A 16,603-nucleotide genomic window follows, 5' to 3' on the forward strand; every position below is an offset into this window, starting at 1 on the left:
GCTTATAGCTGTACACTTTCCTCTTAGTACTGCTTTCACTGTATCCCATAGGTTCTGTTAGGTTGTGTTTCCATGTTCATTTGTTTCAAGAAATTTTTAAATTTCCTTCTTCATTTCTTCATTGACTCACTGATCATTCAGGAGCACATTGTTTAATTTTCATGGTTTTTTTTTGTAGTTTCCAAATTTCTCTTGTTATTGATTTCTAGTTTTATTTCACTGTGGTCAGAGATGATATTTGATATAATTTCATTTTTTTGAATCTTTAAAGACTTCTTTTGTGGCCTATCATAAGGTCTATTCTTGAGAATGATCCATGGGCTGAAGAGAAGAATGCATATTCTGCAGCTATTGCATAAAATGTTCTGTAAATATCTATTAGGTTCATTTGGTCTGTAGCGCAGGTTAAGTCCAATGTTTCTTTGTCAATTTTCTGTCTGGATGATGTGTCCAATGCTGAAAGTAGGGTGTTGAAGTGTCCTGGTATCATTGTATTGGGGTCTATGTCTCTCTTTAGCTTTAATATTTGCTTTGTATATCTGGGTGCTCCAGTGTGGGTGCACACATATTTACAACATATATTTGCAGCTCATTATATAACGTTAAAAGGTTCAAGTCAGCAAGAGGATATAAACATAGACCCCAATACAATGATAAGGGGACATTTCATATTTATAAGTGTATATCATATCTTCATATTTATAATTATAATATAGATATATATTTATATTATATTTACATATAAATATATCCTGTTCATATGTTTATATCCTCTTGCTGACTTGAGCCCTTTATCATTATATAATGACATTCTTTGCCTCTTTTTATAGTTTTGTCTTGAATTCTATTTTATCTGATATAGGTATAGCTATTTCTGCTCTTTTGTTGGTTTCCATCTGAATGAAATATCTGTTTCCATTCCTCAATTTTCAGTTTCTGTGTGTCTTTATAGGTAAAGTGTGTTTCTTGTAGGCCACAGATCATTGGCTCTTGTTTTTGTTGTTGTTGTTGTTTGTTTGTTTTAAATCCATTCAGCCACTCTGTGATTGGAGAGTTTAGTCCATTTACATTAAATGGTATTATTGATCAGTAAGGACTTGCTCTTGCCATTTTGCTATTTGTTTTCCGGTTGTTTTGTGGTCTTCTCTTCCTTCTTTCCTTCCTTCCTGTCTTCCTTTCCAGTCAAGGTGACCTTCTCTGTTGGTATGTTTTAATTTCTTGCTATTTATTTTTTGTGTATCTGTTGTATGATTTTTGATTTGAGGTTACCGTGAGACTTGCAAATAATATAATCCATTATTTTAAACCGGTAACAACTTAGCACTGATTGTGTAAACAAAATAACAAGCAAGCAAAGAAAACTAATACACAAGCAAAGAGAAACAAGCAGAGAAACAAACGAGCAAAGAGAAAACTAACGAATGCTCTACATTTTAACTGCATCCCCCCGCTTTTTAACTTTCTGTTGATTTATGTCTTATTATACTCTCTGTGTCTCAAATAGTTGTTGTAGTCACTATTTTTTATTGGTTCATCTTTTAGTCTTTCTACTCAAGATCTGAGGAGTTTACACACCACAGCTACAGTGTTACAATATTCTGTGTTTTTCTGTGTGCTTACTATTACCAGTGAGTTTTGTACCTTCAAATGATTTCTTGTTGCTCATTAATTTTATATTCTTTCAAATTGAATAACTCTCTTTAGCATTTTTTGTAGGACAGGTCTGGAGTTAATGAAATCCCTCAGCTTTTGTTTGTCTAAGAAAGTCTTTCTTTCTCCTTCGTGTTTGAAGGATACTGTCACTGGATATACTAGTCCAGGATAAAATTTCTTTTTCTTCAGCACTTGAAATACATCACGCTACTCTCTCCTGGCCTGTAAGGTTTCTGCTGAGAAGTCTGCTGTCAGATATATTAGAGCTTTATTGTAGGTTATTTGTTTCTTTTCTCTTGTTGCTTGCAGATCCTTTCTTTATCCTCAACCTTTGGGAGATTGACTATTAAATGTCTTGAGGCAGTCTAATTTGTTTTAATTCTGCTTGCTATTCTATAACATTCTTGTACCTGAATAGGGATATCTTTCTCTAGGTTTGGGAAGTTCTCTGTTATTATTCCCTTTGAATAAACTTTCTACCCCTATCTCTCTCTCTACTTCTTCTTTAAGGCCAATCACGGTTAGATTTGCCCTTTTCAGATTATTTTCTAGATCATGTAGATGTGCTTCATTCTTTTTTATTCATTTTCTTTTGTCTCCTCTGACTGTGTATTTTCAAATAGCCTATCTTCAAGCTCACTAATTCTTTCTTCTGCTTGATCAATTCTGCTGTTATCACCCTGATTCATTCTTTGGTATGTCAATCGCACTTTTCAACTCTAGAATTTTTGCTTGTTTCTTTTTTAAATATTTCACTCCTTTTGTTACATTTACGCGATAGGATTCTAAATCCCTTCTCTGTGTTATCTTGAGTTTCAGTGAGTTTCTTCAAAACAGCTATTTTGAGTTCTCTATCTGAAAGGTCACATATCCCTATCTCTCTATGATTGGTCCCTGGTGCCTTATTTTGTTTGTTTGGTGAAATTATGTTTTTCTGGATGGTCTTGATGCTTGTTGATATTCATCAGTGTCTGGTCATTGAAGAGTTAGGTATTTACCATAGTCTTCACAGTCTGGGCTTGTTTGTACTTGTCCTTTTTAGGAAAGAGTTTCAGGTATTTGAAGGGACTTGGTGTTGTTATCTAAGTTTTTGATCATTGCACCAGTATCTGCATTTGTGGGCCCCCCAAGCTCAGCAACGGTGTGTCTCTTGTAGACTCACAGAGGCACCACCTAGGTGGTCTTGGATAAGATCCATAAGAATCCCCTGGATTATGAGGCAGATAAATTTTTGTTCTCTTCCTTTACTTTCTCCCCAACGAACAGCATCTCTCTCTCTCTCTCTCATTCTCTGCAAAGCTGCCTGTTCTGGGGGGAGGCCTGACACAAACACCTCTGAGGCCACCATCACTGGCACTGCTCTGTGTTAGACTTAGAACTAGCACAGCAATGGGTCTTGCGGAAGGTCCGCAGTAACCACTGTCTGGCTACCGCCTATGTTTGCTCAAAGGCCCAAGGGCTCTACAATCAGCAGATGATTAAGCCAGTCAGGCTTGTGTCTTTCTGTTCAGGGTTATGAGTTCCCCAGTCCTGGGTGGGTCCATAGATGCTGTTTGGGAGCCAGGAACTGGAGTTAGAAGCCATAGAAATCTAACTGGTACTCTCTTCCACTGCAGCTGAGCTGGCACCCAAGCAGGAAAACAAAGTTCTTCTCACTCTTCTCTCCCTTTTCCACAACCAGAGCAGTCTCCCTCCATGGCCACTACCACCCCAGGCTTGTGGCGAGTACTGCCTGGCTACCACCGATGTTCACTCAAGGCCCAAGGAGTCCTCAGTCAGTTTGTCGTGAGTGCTTCCAGGCCTGGGACTCTCTTTTCAGGGAAGTGGGCTTTCCTCTGCCCCAGGGCAGGTCTAGAAATGTCATCCAAGAGCCAAGGCCTGGAATCAGGGACACCAAAAGTCCACTTGATCCTCTACCCCACTGTAGCTGATGTGGTACCTAGGCTGCAAGACAAAATCCCCTTTACTTTTATCTCTCCTTTTCTCAAGCAGAAGCAGTCCCTCATAATCACCACACCTGGGAATGTGCCAAGTCTCATCTGAAGTAAGCGCAGCTCTGAGTCTCACCCAACGCTCATGGTGAGTACTGCCTGGGTACTGTTGCTGACTATTCAGCACCCAAGGGCTCTTTGTTCAGCAGGTGATAAATCTTGCCAGGACTAGCTGCTTCCCTTCAAGGCAATAGGATCCCTTCTTGCCCAAGCTGTATCTAGAAATGTCTGGGTACTAGGGCCTGGAATGGGAGCCTCAGGACTCTGCCTAGTACTCTATACTGCTGTGGTTGAGTTGGTATGCAAGTTGCAAGACAAAGTCCTATTTAGTCTTCCTTCTCTTCTTAAGCAGAAGGAAGGAGTCTCTTCTGAAGCTGTGAGCTGCTCTGCCCGGGGTTCAGAGAGGGGCAGCTCAAGCACTCCCTTGGATACCCTGGCTGGTGTCTCACTACGTTACATGCTCCGCAAATCCACTGGCTCTGAGCCTATCATAGCACCTTGACTTGCCCAGGAATTGCAGTTCTTGTGGCCTAGGCTGTTTTTCAGGTTTATTTAGAACCCCAGAGCATTTTAACTCACAGCATCAAGGCTTGCTGGAACTCAGGTTTCGACTGCTAGGATGGCTGATTCTCCTCTGGCTAAGGCTAGTCTAGATGCTCCCTCCATGGGCACTGGCTGAGTTCTGCCTGGTGTTGCTTTCTGCTGTGACAGGGCAGCACTGGGTGCCTCTTTCAGTTATACGAAGTTCAACCCAGGTACTGTAATCTCTCACCTAAATTTTGGTTCTTATGAAGGTGTTTTTATGTGGATATGTGTTCAATTTGGTGTCCCTGTGGAGAGGACAATTGGTGGCAGCTTCTATCCAGCCATCTTGCTCTACCTCCCTTCAATCATTTCTGAGTGACCAATCAACTGGGGGCTCAGAATAGGAGAAATAGGTAAGTCTGTAATTAGTATCCCAAACGGTGAATAGACTTTAAATAGGAAGAGGACTGTTTAAGTCAGTAATCAATAAGTTTCAGCTTTTCCTGATTGTGTTAGTTTCCTGGATTGGCTGTAATGAAGTATAATATAATAAGCTGGGCAATTTAAAACAACAGAAATTTATTCTCTCACAGTGCCAGCAGCTAGAAGTCCAAAATCAAGGTGTCAGCAGGGCCATGCTCCCTCTGAAGGCTCTATGGAAAAATTATTTCTTGCTTCTTCTAGTTTCTGGTGGTTGCTGGCAATCCTTGGCGTTCCTGGATTTGCAGCAGTGTAACTCCAATCTCTGCCTCCATCTTCACACGGCCTTTGTCCCTGTGTGTCTGTGTGTCTCCAAATATCTCTTTTTATAAGGACATTGATCAGTGGATTTAGGGCCCACCATGATCCAATAAGACCTCATCTTGACTTGATTACATCTGCAAAAGCCTTTTTCCAAATAAGGTCAAGTTCACAGGTACTGGGGGTTAGGACTTCAACATGTCTTTTGTGGGGATACAATTCAACCAACAACACTGATTGACATTAATGGTGTGCCAAGAGGATTGGTGAAGGTGGCAGCAAGGAGACACACTGTCTGTGGAAAATTTAAAAGCAATAATAAAACCAACTGAAAAATCAGTCTTTGTTATTAACACCATGCTCCCAGAATTCTAAACAATATTGACAGTCAAATACTCCTATCAGGGCCCTCCCACCTGGCCTGTACAGGGATGTTTGTGTTTGTACACCATTTACATGAGTTTTCTAGAGCTGCCATAACAAAGCACCACAGATTGGGTGGCTTAAACAATAGAAATTTATTTGCTCACAATTCTGGAGACAAGGAACCCTAGATCAAAGTGTCAGCTGGATTGGTTTCTCCCAAGGCCTCTCTCCTTGGCTTGTAGATGGCCATCTTCTCCCTGTGGTTTCACATAATCTTTCTTCTCTGTGAGTCTGTGTTCAAATTTCTTATTCTTATAAAGACACCAATCATGTTGTATTAGGGCCCACTCTGATGGCCTCATTTTTAACTTAGTTACCACTTTAAATTCCTTATCTCCAAAGAAAGTCACATTCTGAGATACTGGGAGTTAAGAGAGTTCAAAAATGAATTTTGAGGGAGACACAGTTCAGTCCATAACATTCTTGAACCCATCTATAAAGTATTTTAGGTATGATTACAGTAGAAACAAAAATCCTACATTTTCCAGAAAATACATTCTCCTATTCACTAGCATTCTGTTACCATACATATTACTGCAGCATTCACAAATGGGTTCCTAGGAAACACAGTTTCATGGGATGTTTTTAAAAGACACTGCTTGATAAAAGTGGTCCATGGTCAAATAAGTTTGGGAAACAAAAAAAAAAGAGCAGGTTTTCTCAAACTTGGCTTACCTGGTAACACCTTTTAGAAAGGTGCTCTGTAGAACAAAGTTGAAAGAAGCTGGCTTATGGCAAATTTTAAGACTATAAAAATTGTAGTGGTATTGTTAGGAGCACATATATATATAAAATTGCCCTTAATGGCGTGAACCCGGGAGGTGGAGCTTGCAGTGAGCCGAGATCGCGCCACTGCACTCCAGCCTGGGCAACAGAGCGAGACTCCATCTCAAACAAACAAACAAACAAACAAACAAAAAATAATGCCATTAGTCACTGAAAAGTTATAATAATACTCTTGTATATGTATTTTACTACCACAGAGCAACAAAAAGCTAGTAACTAAAAACTTGGTAATGTTATTATTTTTTATTTTTAATTTATTTTTATATATTTTTTCCTCAATCTCACATCATTGACATGTAGTAATATTTTAAGGCTATCTTTTATGACTGGAGTCTAGAACACAAACAAACATAAATTTGAGAATTGAAGAAGAGTTAATTGATGTTAACCCTAATGTCCATTAGTTGAGAGCCATTGGCTAACAGATCTGGCATGAGATTGAAAGTAAAGACAGCATCTTCCATGGAGGCCTTGCAGTGTTCCTAGATCCACTTTACGTAAAAGAATGAAAATGACAGAAAAGTATAAAGAAACAATTAAAACCATCCAAAATCTGACCAGCTAAAGGAAATCACTGTGCATATTTCAAATTGCTTCCATTCTTTTTAGTATGCTTACTTGTATTTGTTGCATAGTTGTTATTTTATTGCATATCAGGCTCCATGATCTGTGTCATGTACTAAAACCACATGATGATTATTTTATCATGTCATTAAAAATTATTCATAAATACCTTTTCTAGCAGTTGCAAATGCTACATACCATTCATTCCAAAACATAACATTTATAACTGTTTCTGTATCAGTAGACTTACTTTGGGTTGTCTAATTTTTTAAAATTATAAGTAGCACTATGAAGAGATATTGTTATACTGATATACATGAATATATATATATAATATGCACTTTGCATTTCTGATCATCTTCTTATGATAGATTCCTAGAAATAGACTATCTCAGTAAAAATATGAATATTTTAAAGCTCTTAGGTTAGTGTTATCGAAGTGTGGGAAAGTGCCCATTTTGCTTTATCTCTGCCAGTGTTGTGTATTATACTCTTAAAAAAACCCGACTCTACCAATTTTGTTAGCAAAAATTAATTCCATTTCCCGTTTCATTTCCTTGATTACAAGTAGGTTTGTTTATTTTTCTATTCATTCATTAGCTTTCCCTTTTTCTTTTCTTTTCTTTTTTTTTTTTTCAGATGAATTCTTTCTCTGTCGCCCAGGCTGGAGTGCAGTGGTGCAATCTCAGCTCGCTGCAACCTCCGCTTCCCAAGTTCAAGCAATTCTCCTGCCTCAGCCTCCCAAGTAGCTGGGATTACAGACACGTGCCACCACATCCAGCTGATTTTTGTATTTTTAGTAGAGGCGGGGTTTCACTATGTTGGCCAGGATGCTCTCAATCTCATGACCTCAGGTGATCCACCCGCCTTGGCCTCCCAAAGTGCTGGGATTACTGGCGTGAGCCACCATGCCCGGCCTAGCCTTCCCTTTTTTCTTAATTTTTATTTTTAAAATTTTAATTGTGGTTAAAATACATATAGCATAAAATTTACCAGTTAACCATTTTTTAAGTGTACAGTTCTGTAGTTAAGTAAATCCATGTTCAACCAATCTCCAGAACCCATTTCATCTTGCAAATTGAAACTATACATTCATTAAACAACAATATCCCATTCCCTCTCCTTATAGTTCCCAGCAATCATGATTTACCTTCTGTCTCTGAATTTGACTACTCTAAACACCCCATATGATTAGAAAAATACAATACTTGTCCTTTTGTGACTGGTTTATTGAACTTAGCATGTCCTCAAGGTCCATTTATGTTGTAGCATGTGTCAGAATTTCCTTTTTTTAAAGGCTAAATATTTTATTGCATGTATATACCAACCACATTTTCCCACCTTTGGTTTTGTTAAATCTTTATTTGTTTTTATTTTGTTAACCTTTATTTTCAGTCCAGGGGTACACGTGCAGGTTTGTTACTTAGGTAAATTGTGTGTCACAGGGGTTTGGTGTACAGAGTATTTTGCCACCTAGGTAATAAGCATAGTACCTGATAGGCAGGTAGCTTCTCAATCCTCACCCTCCTCCCACCCTTCACCCTCAAGTAGGTGCTGGTGTCTGTTGTTTACTTCTTTATGTCCTTGTGTACTCAATGCTTAGCTTCCACTTATAAGTGAGAAGATGTGGTGTTTGGTTTTCTGTTTCTGCACTAGTTTGCTCAGGATAATGGCCCCCAACTCCATCCCTGTTGCTGCAGAGGACATGATCTTGTTCTTTTCCATGGCTGTGTGGTATTCCATAATGTATATGTACCATATTTTCTTCATCCAACCTACCATTGATGGGCATTTAGGTTGGTTCCATGTCTTTGCTATTGTAAATAGTGCTGCAATGAACATACACACGCACGTGTCTTTATCCTAGAATGATTTTTATTCCTTTGTGTATATACCCAATAATGGGATTGCTGGGTTGAATGGTAGTTCTAAATTCTTTGAGAATCACCAAGCTGCCTTCCACAAGGCTGAACTAATTTACTTTCCCATCAGCAGTGTGTAAGAATTCCCTTTTCTCCACAACCTTGGCAGCATCTGTTGTTTTTTGACTTTTTAATGACAGCCATTCTGACTGGTGTGAAATGTATATGTCACATTTCGTTTAAGTCTGCATTAAATCTGTAGATCACTTTCAGTAGTACTCAATCATAACGGTATTAAGTTTTCCAATCCATTAACACAAGACGGCTTTTCAAGCTTTCCCTTTTTTGTGAATTTTTTTTCATATCCTTTGCCTTTTCTAGGCAGTCTTAATATCTTTAATTGTCAATGTTTACCAACTCTTTATATATTAAGGACATTCACCTTTTGTTATATTGTGTCACATATTTTCCCCAGCTAGCTATTCAGCTTTCCATTTTAATTTTTTTTGGGGGTGGGTGGGGGCGGGTCGAATCTCACTCTGTGGCCCGGGCTGGAGTGCAGTGGCATGATCTCGGCTCACTGTGACCTCCACCTCCTGGGTTCAAGTGATTCTCTGCCTCAGCCTCCTGAGTAGCTGGGATTACAGGCACTCGCCACCACATCCAGCTAATTTTTGTATTTTTAGTAGAGACGGGGTTTCACCACGTTGGCCAGGCTGGTCTTGAACTCCTGACCTCAAGTGATCCTCCTGCTTCGACCTCTCAAAGTGCTGGGATTACAGGCATGAGCCATCGTGCCCGGCTTAGCTTTCCATTTTCTTGATGATGTTTTGCTATGAGTTTTATATCAACTTAAAGTTTACAGTAGTCTTTTGAATTTTTTTTAAGGATAATTTTTTAAAACTGCACTCAGCTAGAAAAATAGCTAGCATTTATTGAGTGCTTACTATTCTATAAGCACTATCTTAAATGCTTGACTTGTACTAGTTCTTTTATCCTCACAACTCTGTAAGTGCTATTATTACCATCCCTACTTTGCATACGAAGAAACTAAGGCATAAGCAGGTTAGGTAACTTCCCCAAGGTCACATAGTTAAAGTCAAGCAATCAGATGCCAGAGACCTTGTTCCTTGAGCTCTATGTTCTACTGCCTCCTGTCCTTATTTGTGCCTTTTTCTCTCTATTCATGATCAATCATTTTATATGTTTATCAGGGAAAATGACTAAGAAGCAGGGAGTCTTTTTTTACTATACTTTAAGTTCTGGGGTACATGTGCAGAACGTGCAGGTTTGTTACATAGGTATACACGTGCCATGGTAGTTTGCTGCACCCATCAACCCATCACCTACATTAGGTATTTCTCCTAATACTATCCCTCCCCTGGTCCGCCCAACCCCTGACAGGCCCCAGTGTGTGATGTTCCCCTCCCTGTGTCCATGTATTCTCATTGTTCAGCTCCCACTTATGAGTGAGAACATGTGGTGTTTGGTTTTCTGTTCTTGTGTTAGTTTGCTGAGAATGATGGTTTCCAGCTTTATCCATGTCCCTGCAAAGGACATGAACTCATCCTTTTTATGGTTGCATAGTATTCCATGGTGTATATGTGCCACATTTTCTTTATCCAGTCTATCGTTGATGGGCATTTGGGTTTGTTCCATGTCTTTGCTATTGTGAATAGTGCCGCAATAAACATGTGTGCATGTGTCTTTATAGTAGAATGATTTATAATCCTTGGGGTATATACCCAGTAATGGGATCGCTGGGTCAAATGGTATTTCTCGTTCTAGATCCTTGAGGAATCGCCACACTGTCTTCCACATGGTTGAACTAATTTACACCCCCACCAACAGTGTAAAAGCAGTCCTATTTCTCCATATCCTCTCCAGCATCTGTGGTGTCCTGACTTTAATGATCACCATTCTAACTGGCGTGAGATGGTATCTCATTGTGGTTTTGATTTGCATTTCTCTAATGACCAGTGATGATGAGCTTTTTTTCATATGTTCGTTGGCTGCATAAATGTCTTCTTTTGAGAAGTGTCTGTTCATATCCTTTGCACACTTTTTGATGGGGTTTTTTTCTTGTAAATTTGTTTCAGTTCTTTGTAGATTCTAGATACTAGCCCTTTGTCAAGTGAGTAGGTTGCAAAAATTTTCTCCCATTCTGTAGGTTGCCTGTTCACTGTGATGATAGTTTCTTTTGCTGTGCAGAAGCTCTTTAGTTTAATTAGATCTCATTTATCAATTTTGGCTTTTGTTGCCGTTGCTTTTGGTGTTTTAGTCATGAAGTCTTTGCCCATGCCTATGTCCTGAATGGTATTGCCTAGGTTTTCTTCCAGGGTTTTTATGGTTTTAGGTCTTACATTTAAGTCTTTAATCTATCTTGAATTAATTTTTGTATAAAGTGTAAGGAAGGGGTCCAGTTTCAGTTTTAAGAAGCAGGGAGTCTTTGCAAGCTCAAGGTAGGATCTTTGTCAAACAGGAAATATGGTATTATGCAGCAGTGAAACGAGGTCAGTTCTGAGTCCTCAGTCTAGGTTACAGGAACAAAGTTAAGAGTTTGTTCTTATGAGGAATAGAACTGAGTATGTCTCTAGGTCAAGAAAAACACTGTGGCAAAAATGAGAACATTGAGCAACTAATTCAAAATTTCATATGGAACAGTTTCAATAACCATCGGGTAAATGACTTCTTATGGTGAGTGTGCTCAGAAGTGCTCACTAATACTGGTTGATTGAGAGTGATATTTACAATACCAAACAGTCATGTCATTAATAGTATAACAACTTTTTCTTACCAGGGGCTTTTTTGAGCCAGTAAAGGAGAGGATCTTCCCTAGGATTTTTGTTTGTTTTTAAGACTAGCAATGTGCTAACTGCATCCCTTCTACATCCATGAAAGAGAATGCACCCTAGGCTCTCTAGACCAAACTCAGGCATGCTTTACTTGTGGCGTGCATTCAAAAGGAGGAGAACATGGTGAAAATGTCTTGAACATCATTCTAGTAACCATAGTGATACCAAAGCAAACCTGGATCCTTATCTCATATCTTGTTTATTTTTCAGAAAGAATTTATTTACACATAGACCTTTAATTTTGAAAAAGATGCCCCTCTTTGTTATTTGATTGTGTAAGTGATGTTTTGTTGGCCTTGCTTCACAGCAAGTCTCTGTAATACCTCGGTATGTTGCCAGTGGCTGTCTCTGTCCTCACAAACAAATGTTCCATACTTGTCTGACCTGGGCAGCCAGGCTATGGGGTCCAAGGAAGGATAGAACACCTGGAAAGTGACAGCAATGTTTTTGGGGTCAGAACTCTCAAAGTGGAAAAGTTATTCAAGATCCAGCTGCAGAATGAATGAGCACGTTCTCTGCTTTTAAAAAAAAGTTTTATTTTTTAAAAAGAAGTAATAAAGCTGGGCATGGTGGTGCTCTCCTGTAGTCCCAGTTGCTCAGGAGGCTGAGATGGGAGGATTGCTTAAGCCCAGGAGTTTGAGACTAGCCTAAGCAATACAGTGAGACTCCATCTCTAAAAAAACAAAACAAAACAAAAAACAAAAACAAAAAAAGAAAGAAAGAAAAGAAAAAGGAGTAATAAAGAGAGATATTGGTGCCTCACTGCTCTAAAGGGCTTTGAGGAAACAGTTCTAGGCTCTCCACAGAATTTGGAAATGCATCCTGGGGGGGTGGACTGTGAAAAACATCTGAGACATAAGCTCTATGTGACACTTGGTGGGTACTCATGAACATTCAGGGTTCTTGAGGGCCTGAACTGCTTGTTTTGGTAGCCTTGCATTTTCAGGGCAACAATCCCTGGCATCGAGTGGACCCTCAAGAAATATTTGTTAGCTGCCAGATGCAACTTTCCGCTGTATTGTCAACACTTTTTCAAAACACGTCACTGAGGATTTCAGTAACTTCCCAGCAGCTACAAGGAATCTTGGGAACCTTTTCTCTAGGCAGAGCAGGCTATTTAATACCCCATTTGTAATAGGGTGATTTAAAGATACTTTGAAAGCCAATCTAAGAAAAGACATTTCTCCGATGGTGCCTGAAGTTCGATGCATAGAGGTTTTTCTTTCTGTTACCCTCACTAAGTTCTTTGAAAATGCCTACAGAAGGGGTGTTCATATCAGGCCCTTGTGCTTCACGAGAATAAGTTGATCGGGTAAAAATTTTCTCCATAAGAGAGACCACTATTGGGAGGGGGCAGCTGCCCAGTTAGGAGGGTTAGACTTGTCCTGCACCAATATTGTCAAGCAAGTGGGCTCAAGGGTCCCTCTGGACTCTCCTACTTAACCTTCACTATTGGCTTAAATATAGGAGTGACCATCCCCTCTCCAGAAACTGGCCTCAGTCCTGTAGCTTATTTCTTGGGATCAGTGACCCACCTCCACTTTCCACCACCTCCAGAGGCTCGAGAGAACCTGTCCCTGTCTAAACAGCCATTATTAAATGTGACTGTATTTTTTTCTCTATAGGAATGATGTATTTTCTATTTAAAAAAAAAAAAAAAAAACTCCCACAATCTTTGTGTGACTTGCATTTGAGAGCGGCCAAAGGACCTACTTGCAAAGCAGTGCAGAGGCTGACATTTACTGATAATCTGCCATGCACGAGGCACCCGGCCAGAGGGACGCTTCCTGTTCAAAATGACTGTTAGGCAGATGCTATCATTTCCATGTTACTGAGAACAAAGTTGAATCTCTGAGAGAGAAAAAAAGGAACATTCACAGGGTCACAAAGGTGGGTTGAATTCCAGAGACCCTGTTCTCTCTACAGCAAGGAAAATTACCCATACCCAGGAGAGCAGGGAAATGTCATAAATTCTTTGTATGCCCTCACTGCACTTTGCACAGGGCTTGGAGTCTTTGATGGAGAATGCATGTAACATAACCCACTGAAATTAAGCTTAAACAAAAATGATACTTTGCTGGGAGGGATCCTGGTCACCCCCTAAAATCCGAGGAAAGTTGAACAACCAGGCCTCAGTACCAAGAGTTCTTGGGTTTTATATCTGTCTAATGCTACACCCGCAACTGGACTAAATAACCTGCATCTCTGTCTCTTAGTCAGAGTTCTCAAGAGAGAGACCCTAATTGGCTCCTGGTCAGCCAATGAACTTCCTCCTCCTGAGTCAGGTGTTCACTTCTAGTCCAATCAGCTATGACCAAGAGTCAAGCAAAAGCAAAACTTCCGGGGGCTAATTCTGAAGTCTGCCCAATGGTGTCTACTGTACCCAGATATAATTCAATACATGTTTATTGTCTGGTGTTTTTTGTGTTCATTCGTTGCAACCAAGTTCTTTAAGAACCTTGGATACATCGTCCTTCATTTAATCATCAGGCGGGGGTTGATAGGCCATAGTGATCAAGAAAAATATGTGAAATTTCTATATGCCAGTTATCGCTGTGTTAAAAACCTTCAGAGCAAATTAAGAAAGGAGAAATAAACTATTTGTTCTCAAAAGCTTGGTTTCAAGGGGACCGAGGAAATGGGAAAAGCATCTGTGGACAAGGCTATTGTGCTTGCTGCTGGAAGACTACCAAGGCCAGTTACTAAACGGGTGGGCAGCAACAAGTAGTTGCTTTGTTTTTTTTTCCCCCATAGGAAGTTGTTGTCTCTGTTTTGCAAGTTTGTCAAATTTCTTTTGTTTCTGGGGTCAATAACCTAGATACTTGAGACTCTTTTTTTCCCCTTCCGAGGGTCCTAATTTTGCATTTTACGTAACACCAATCTTGACCAAAAGCTGATTTATTAAGGAGGTTTCTTCTGGGTTAGTTGTTGGTGCTGGAGGCTGCGTGTACATGACTTAGTCTTCTACTGCCACCATGAGGGAGATGCTGGAATTGCAAGGCTCTTTTAGTTATCAAATGTAAATTTTCATAAATGAAAGTGAGCACGTTTAAAATTATCTCTATCTATTTATCTATCTATCTGTCTGTCTATCATGTTCATATATATATAAAATGGAACAATCCACCTCCTAAAACATATCCTCTGAAAGGCTTAAAGAGATATATAGTATTGCCAAGTGTGTCTGAGTTAGGTAGGCGAGGGTTTGAGACCTGCCTCTGCCTACCACTACAACCGCCCTTACACTAGACATTTAAGTCTTCTAAGCCACAGGTGTAAAAATGGTCTGATAGTACCCATTTCACAGGGCTTGGTATTGAAAAAATGACATAGCCTGTGTCAGTCTCTAGCATTTGGTAAGTACTCAATAAATGATTACCATTGCTATCACCTGAAATTGACCACGGCTGAAAGTATTAGAAAAGCTTTCTGCAGGGAGAAAGAGGGGTGAGGGTGGAGGGTACCAGTAACCCCGTGAAAACAAACACCAGTGCACAACTGGAGTGGATGCTCAATAAACATATGAAAGGTTCAGGGGAAAGGGGTAAAGTCACCAGGGATGGCTCTAACAGCCAAAAGAGGGATGGAAAACACTCTTTTAAGCTGACCATTTTAGAGTCAAAGAACCAAAAATATAGAATGTTCGTGTGGTAAGGATTCTAGATATGTACTCCAGCTTTTTTTTTTTTTCAAGTGGGGCAACCGAGTGATTGAATCACTCTTCAAGTTAAAATGTTAATCAGCAGTAAAGTGGGACTAGAACCCAAGACTTTTGTTTTCTTTTCTTTTCTTTTTTTTTTTTTTTTGAGACAGGATCTAACTCTATTGCCCGGGCTGGAGTGCGATGGCACATTTGTAGCTCACTGTAACCTTGAAGCCCTGGGTTCAAACAATCCTTCCGCCTCAGCCTCCTGAGTAGCTGGGACTACACTCACACACCACTGTGCCCAGCTAATTTTTATTTTTTTGGGCAGAGACAGGAATCTCACTATATTGCCCAAGCTGGTCTGAAACTTCTGGCTTCAAGTGATCCTCCCGCCTTGGTCTCCTAAGGTGCTGGGATTACAGGCATGAGCCACTGTGCCCACCCCCTCAAGACTTTTGACAAATAATCCAGAGCTCTTTATATATAAGCACCAAAATATCAGTCAAGATTAGCCAAATCAGGATTGTCTTGGATTGAAAAAAAAAATGGGCAAGTTGCTTAACCTGATTATGCTTTAGTTTCATTACTGGCAAAATGGCAATCATAATATCCTACTGCAGGGGTTCTAGTAAAGACTGAGATGCCACATGGAAAGCATTTAGATTTGTGCAATAAATGTCCACTGGTATGATTATATGAGTACAGACTTCATCTGGTACAATTACACCGTCTCCTGAATGTGATCAACAAAACTTTGCCATCTCTAAAACCACTGGCTTCCTAACCCTGCCTCCATGATAAACTCTTTAATGGTGGGAACATTTGTACCTCTTTATACGTTCTCGTGCCTGTATAATTACCTTTTTAAAATTAAACTTTTAATTTTGAGGTAATTCTAGGTTTATATACAGTTATAAGAAATAATACAGAATGATCCCATGTACTCTTCACCCAATTTTTTTCCAGTGGAAACAGTTTGAAGAACTGTAGTACAGTATCACAACCAAGATATTGGCATTGACAAGATCGACCCATCTTATTCAGTTTCTCCTGTTTTACTTGTATGCATTTGTGTGTGTGTGTGTGTATTTAGTTCTATACAATTTTATCACCATTGTAGGTTCATGTTTCCACTTGACAGTCAAGACACCAAACAGTTCTATCTTTCATGAGGATCCCTTGAACTGGCCTTTTATAACCACACCAACCTCTCTCCTGTATCCCCCTGCCCCATCCTGAAACTCTAGCAACCAATTTGTATTGGGCTTTTTTTTTTCTTGATTATAATTCACTGGAGACTCATCCAGATTGCTGCCGATATCACTAGTTTATTCCCTTTTGTTGCTGAGTAGTATTCGATGAGATAGGTGAGTAGTATTAGATGAGATAGATGTACTGCAATTTGCTCAGCCATTCACTTCTTGAAGGACATCTGGGTTGTTTCCTGTGTTGGGCTAGTAGGAATAAAGCTGTTGTGAACATTTGTATACAGCTTTTGTGTAAATATAAGCTTTCATTTCTCTGGGATAAATGCCTAAGAGTGCAACTGCTGGG

At 39.7% G+C, this 16,603-nt stretch overlaps 1 long non-coding RNA gene across 1 annotated transcript in view; it reads left to right on the forward strand.

The window, feature by feature from the left end:
* The window catches only part of GCLC-AS1 (GCLC antisense RNA 1), a 75,418-nt gene that overhangs the window by 38,962 nt on the left and 19,853 nt on the right, over positions 1 to 16,603 (forward strand). The window contains exon 3 of the long non-coding RNA NR_183318.1: positions 3,643 to 3,732. This is a non-coding gene — a long non-coding RNA (GCLC antisense RNA 1). The remainder of the gene's footprint in view (positions 1 to 3,642; positions 3,733 to 16,603) is intronic.

The sequence above is a fragment of the Homo sapiens genome, chromosome 6, assembly GCF_000001405.40.
Source record: "Homo sapiens chromosome 6, GRCh38.p14 Primary Assembly".
Taxonomy (NCBI): Eukaryota; Metazoa; Chordata; class Mammalia; order Primates; family Hominidae; genus Homo; species Homo sapiens.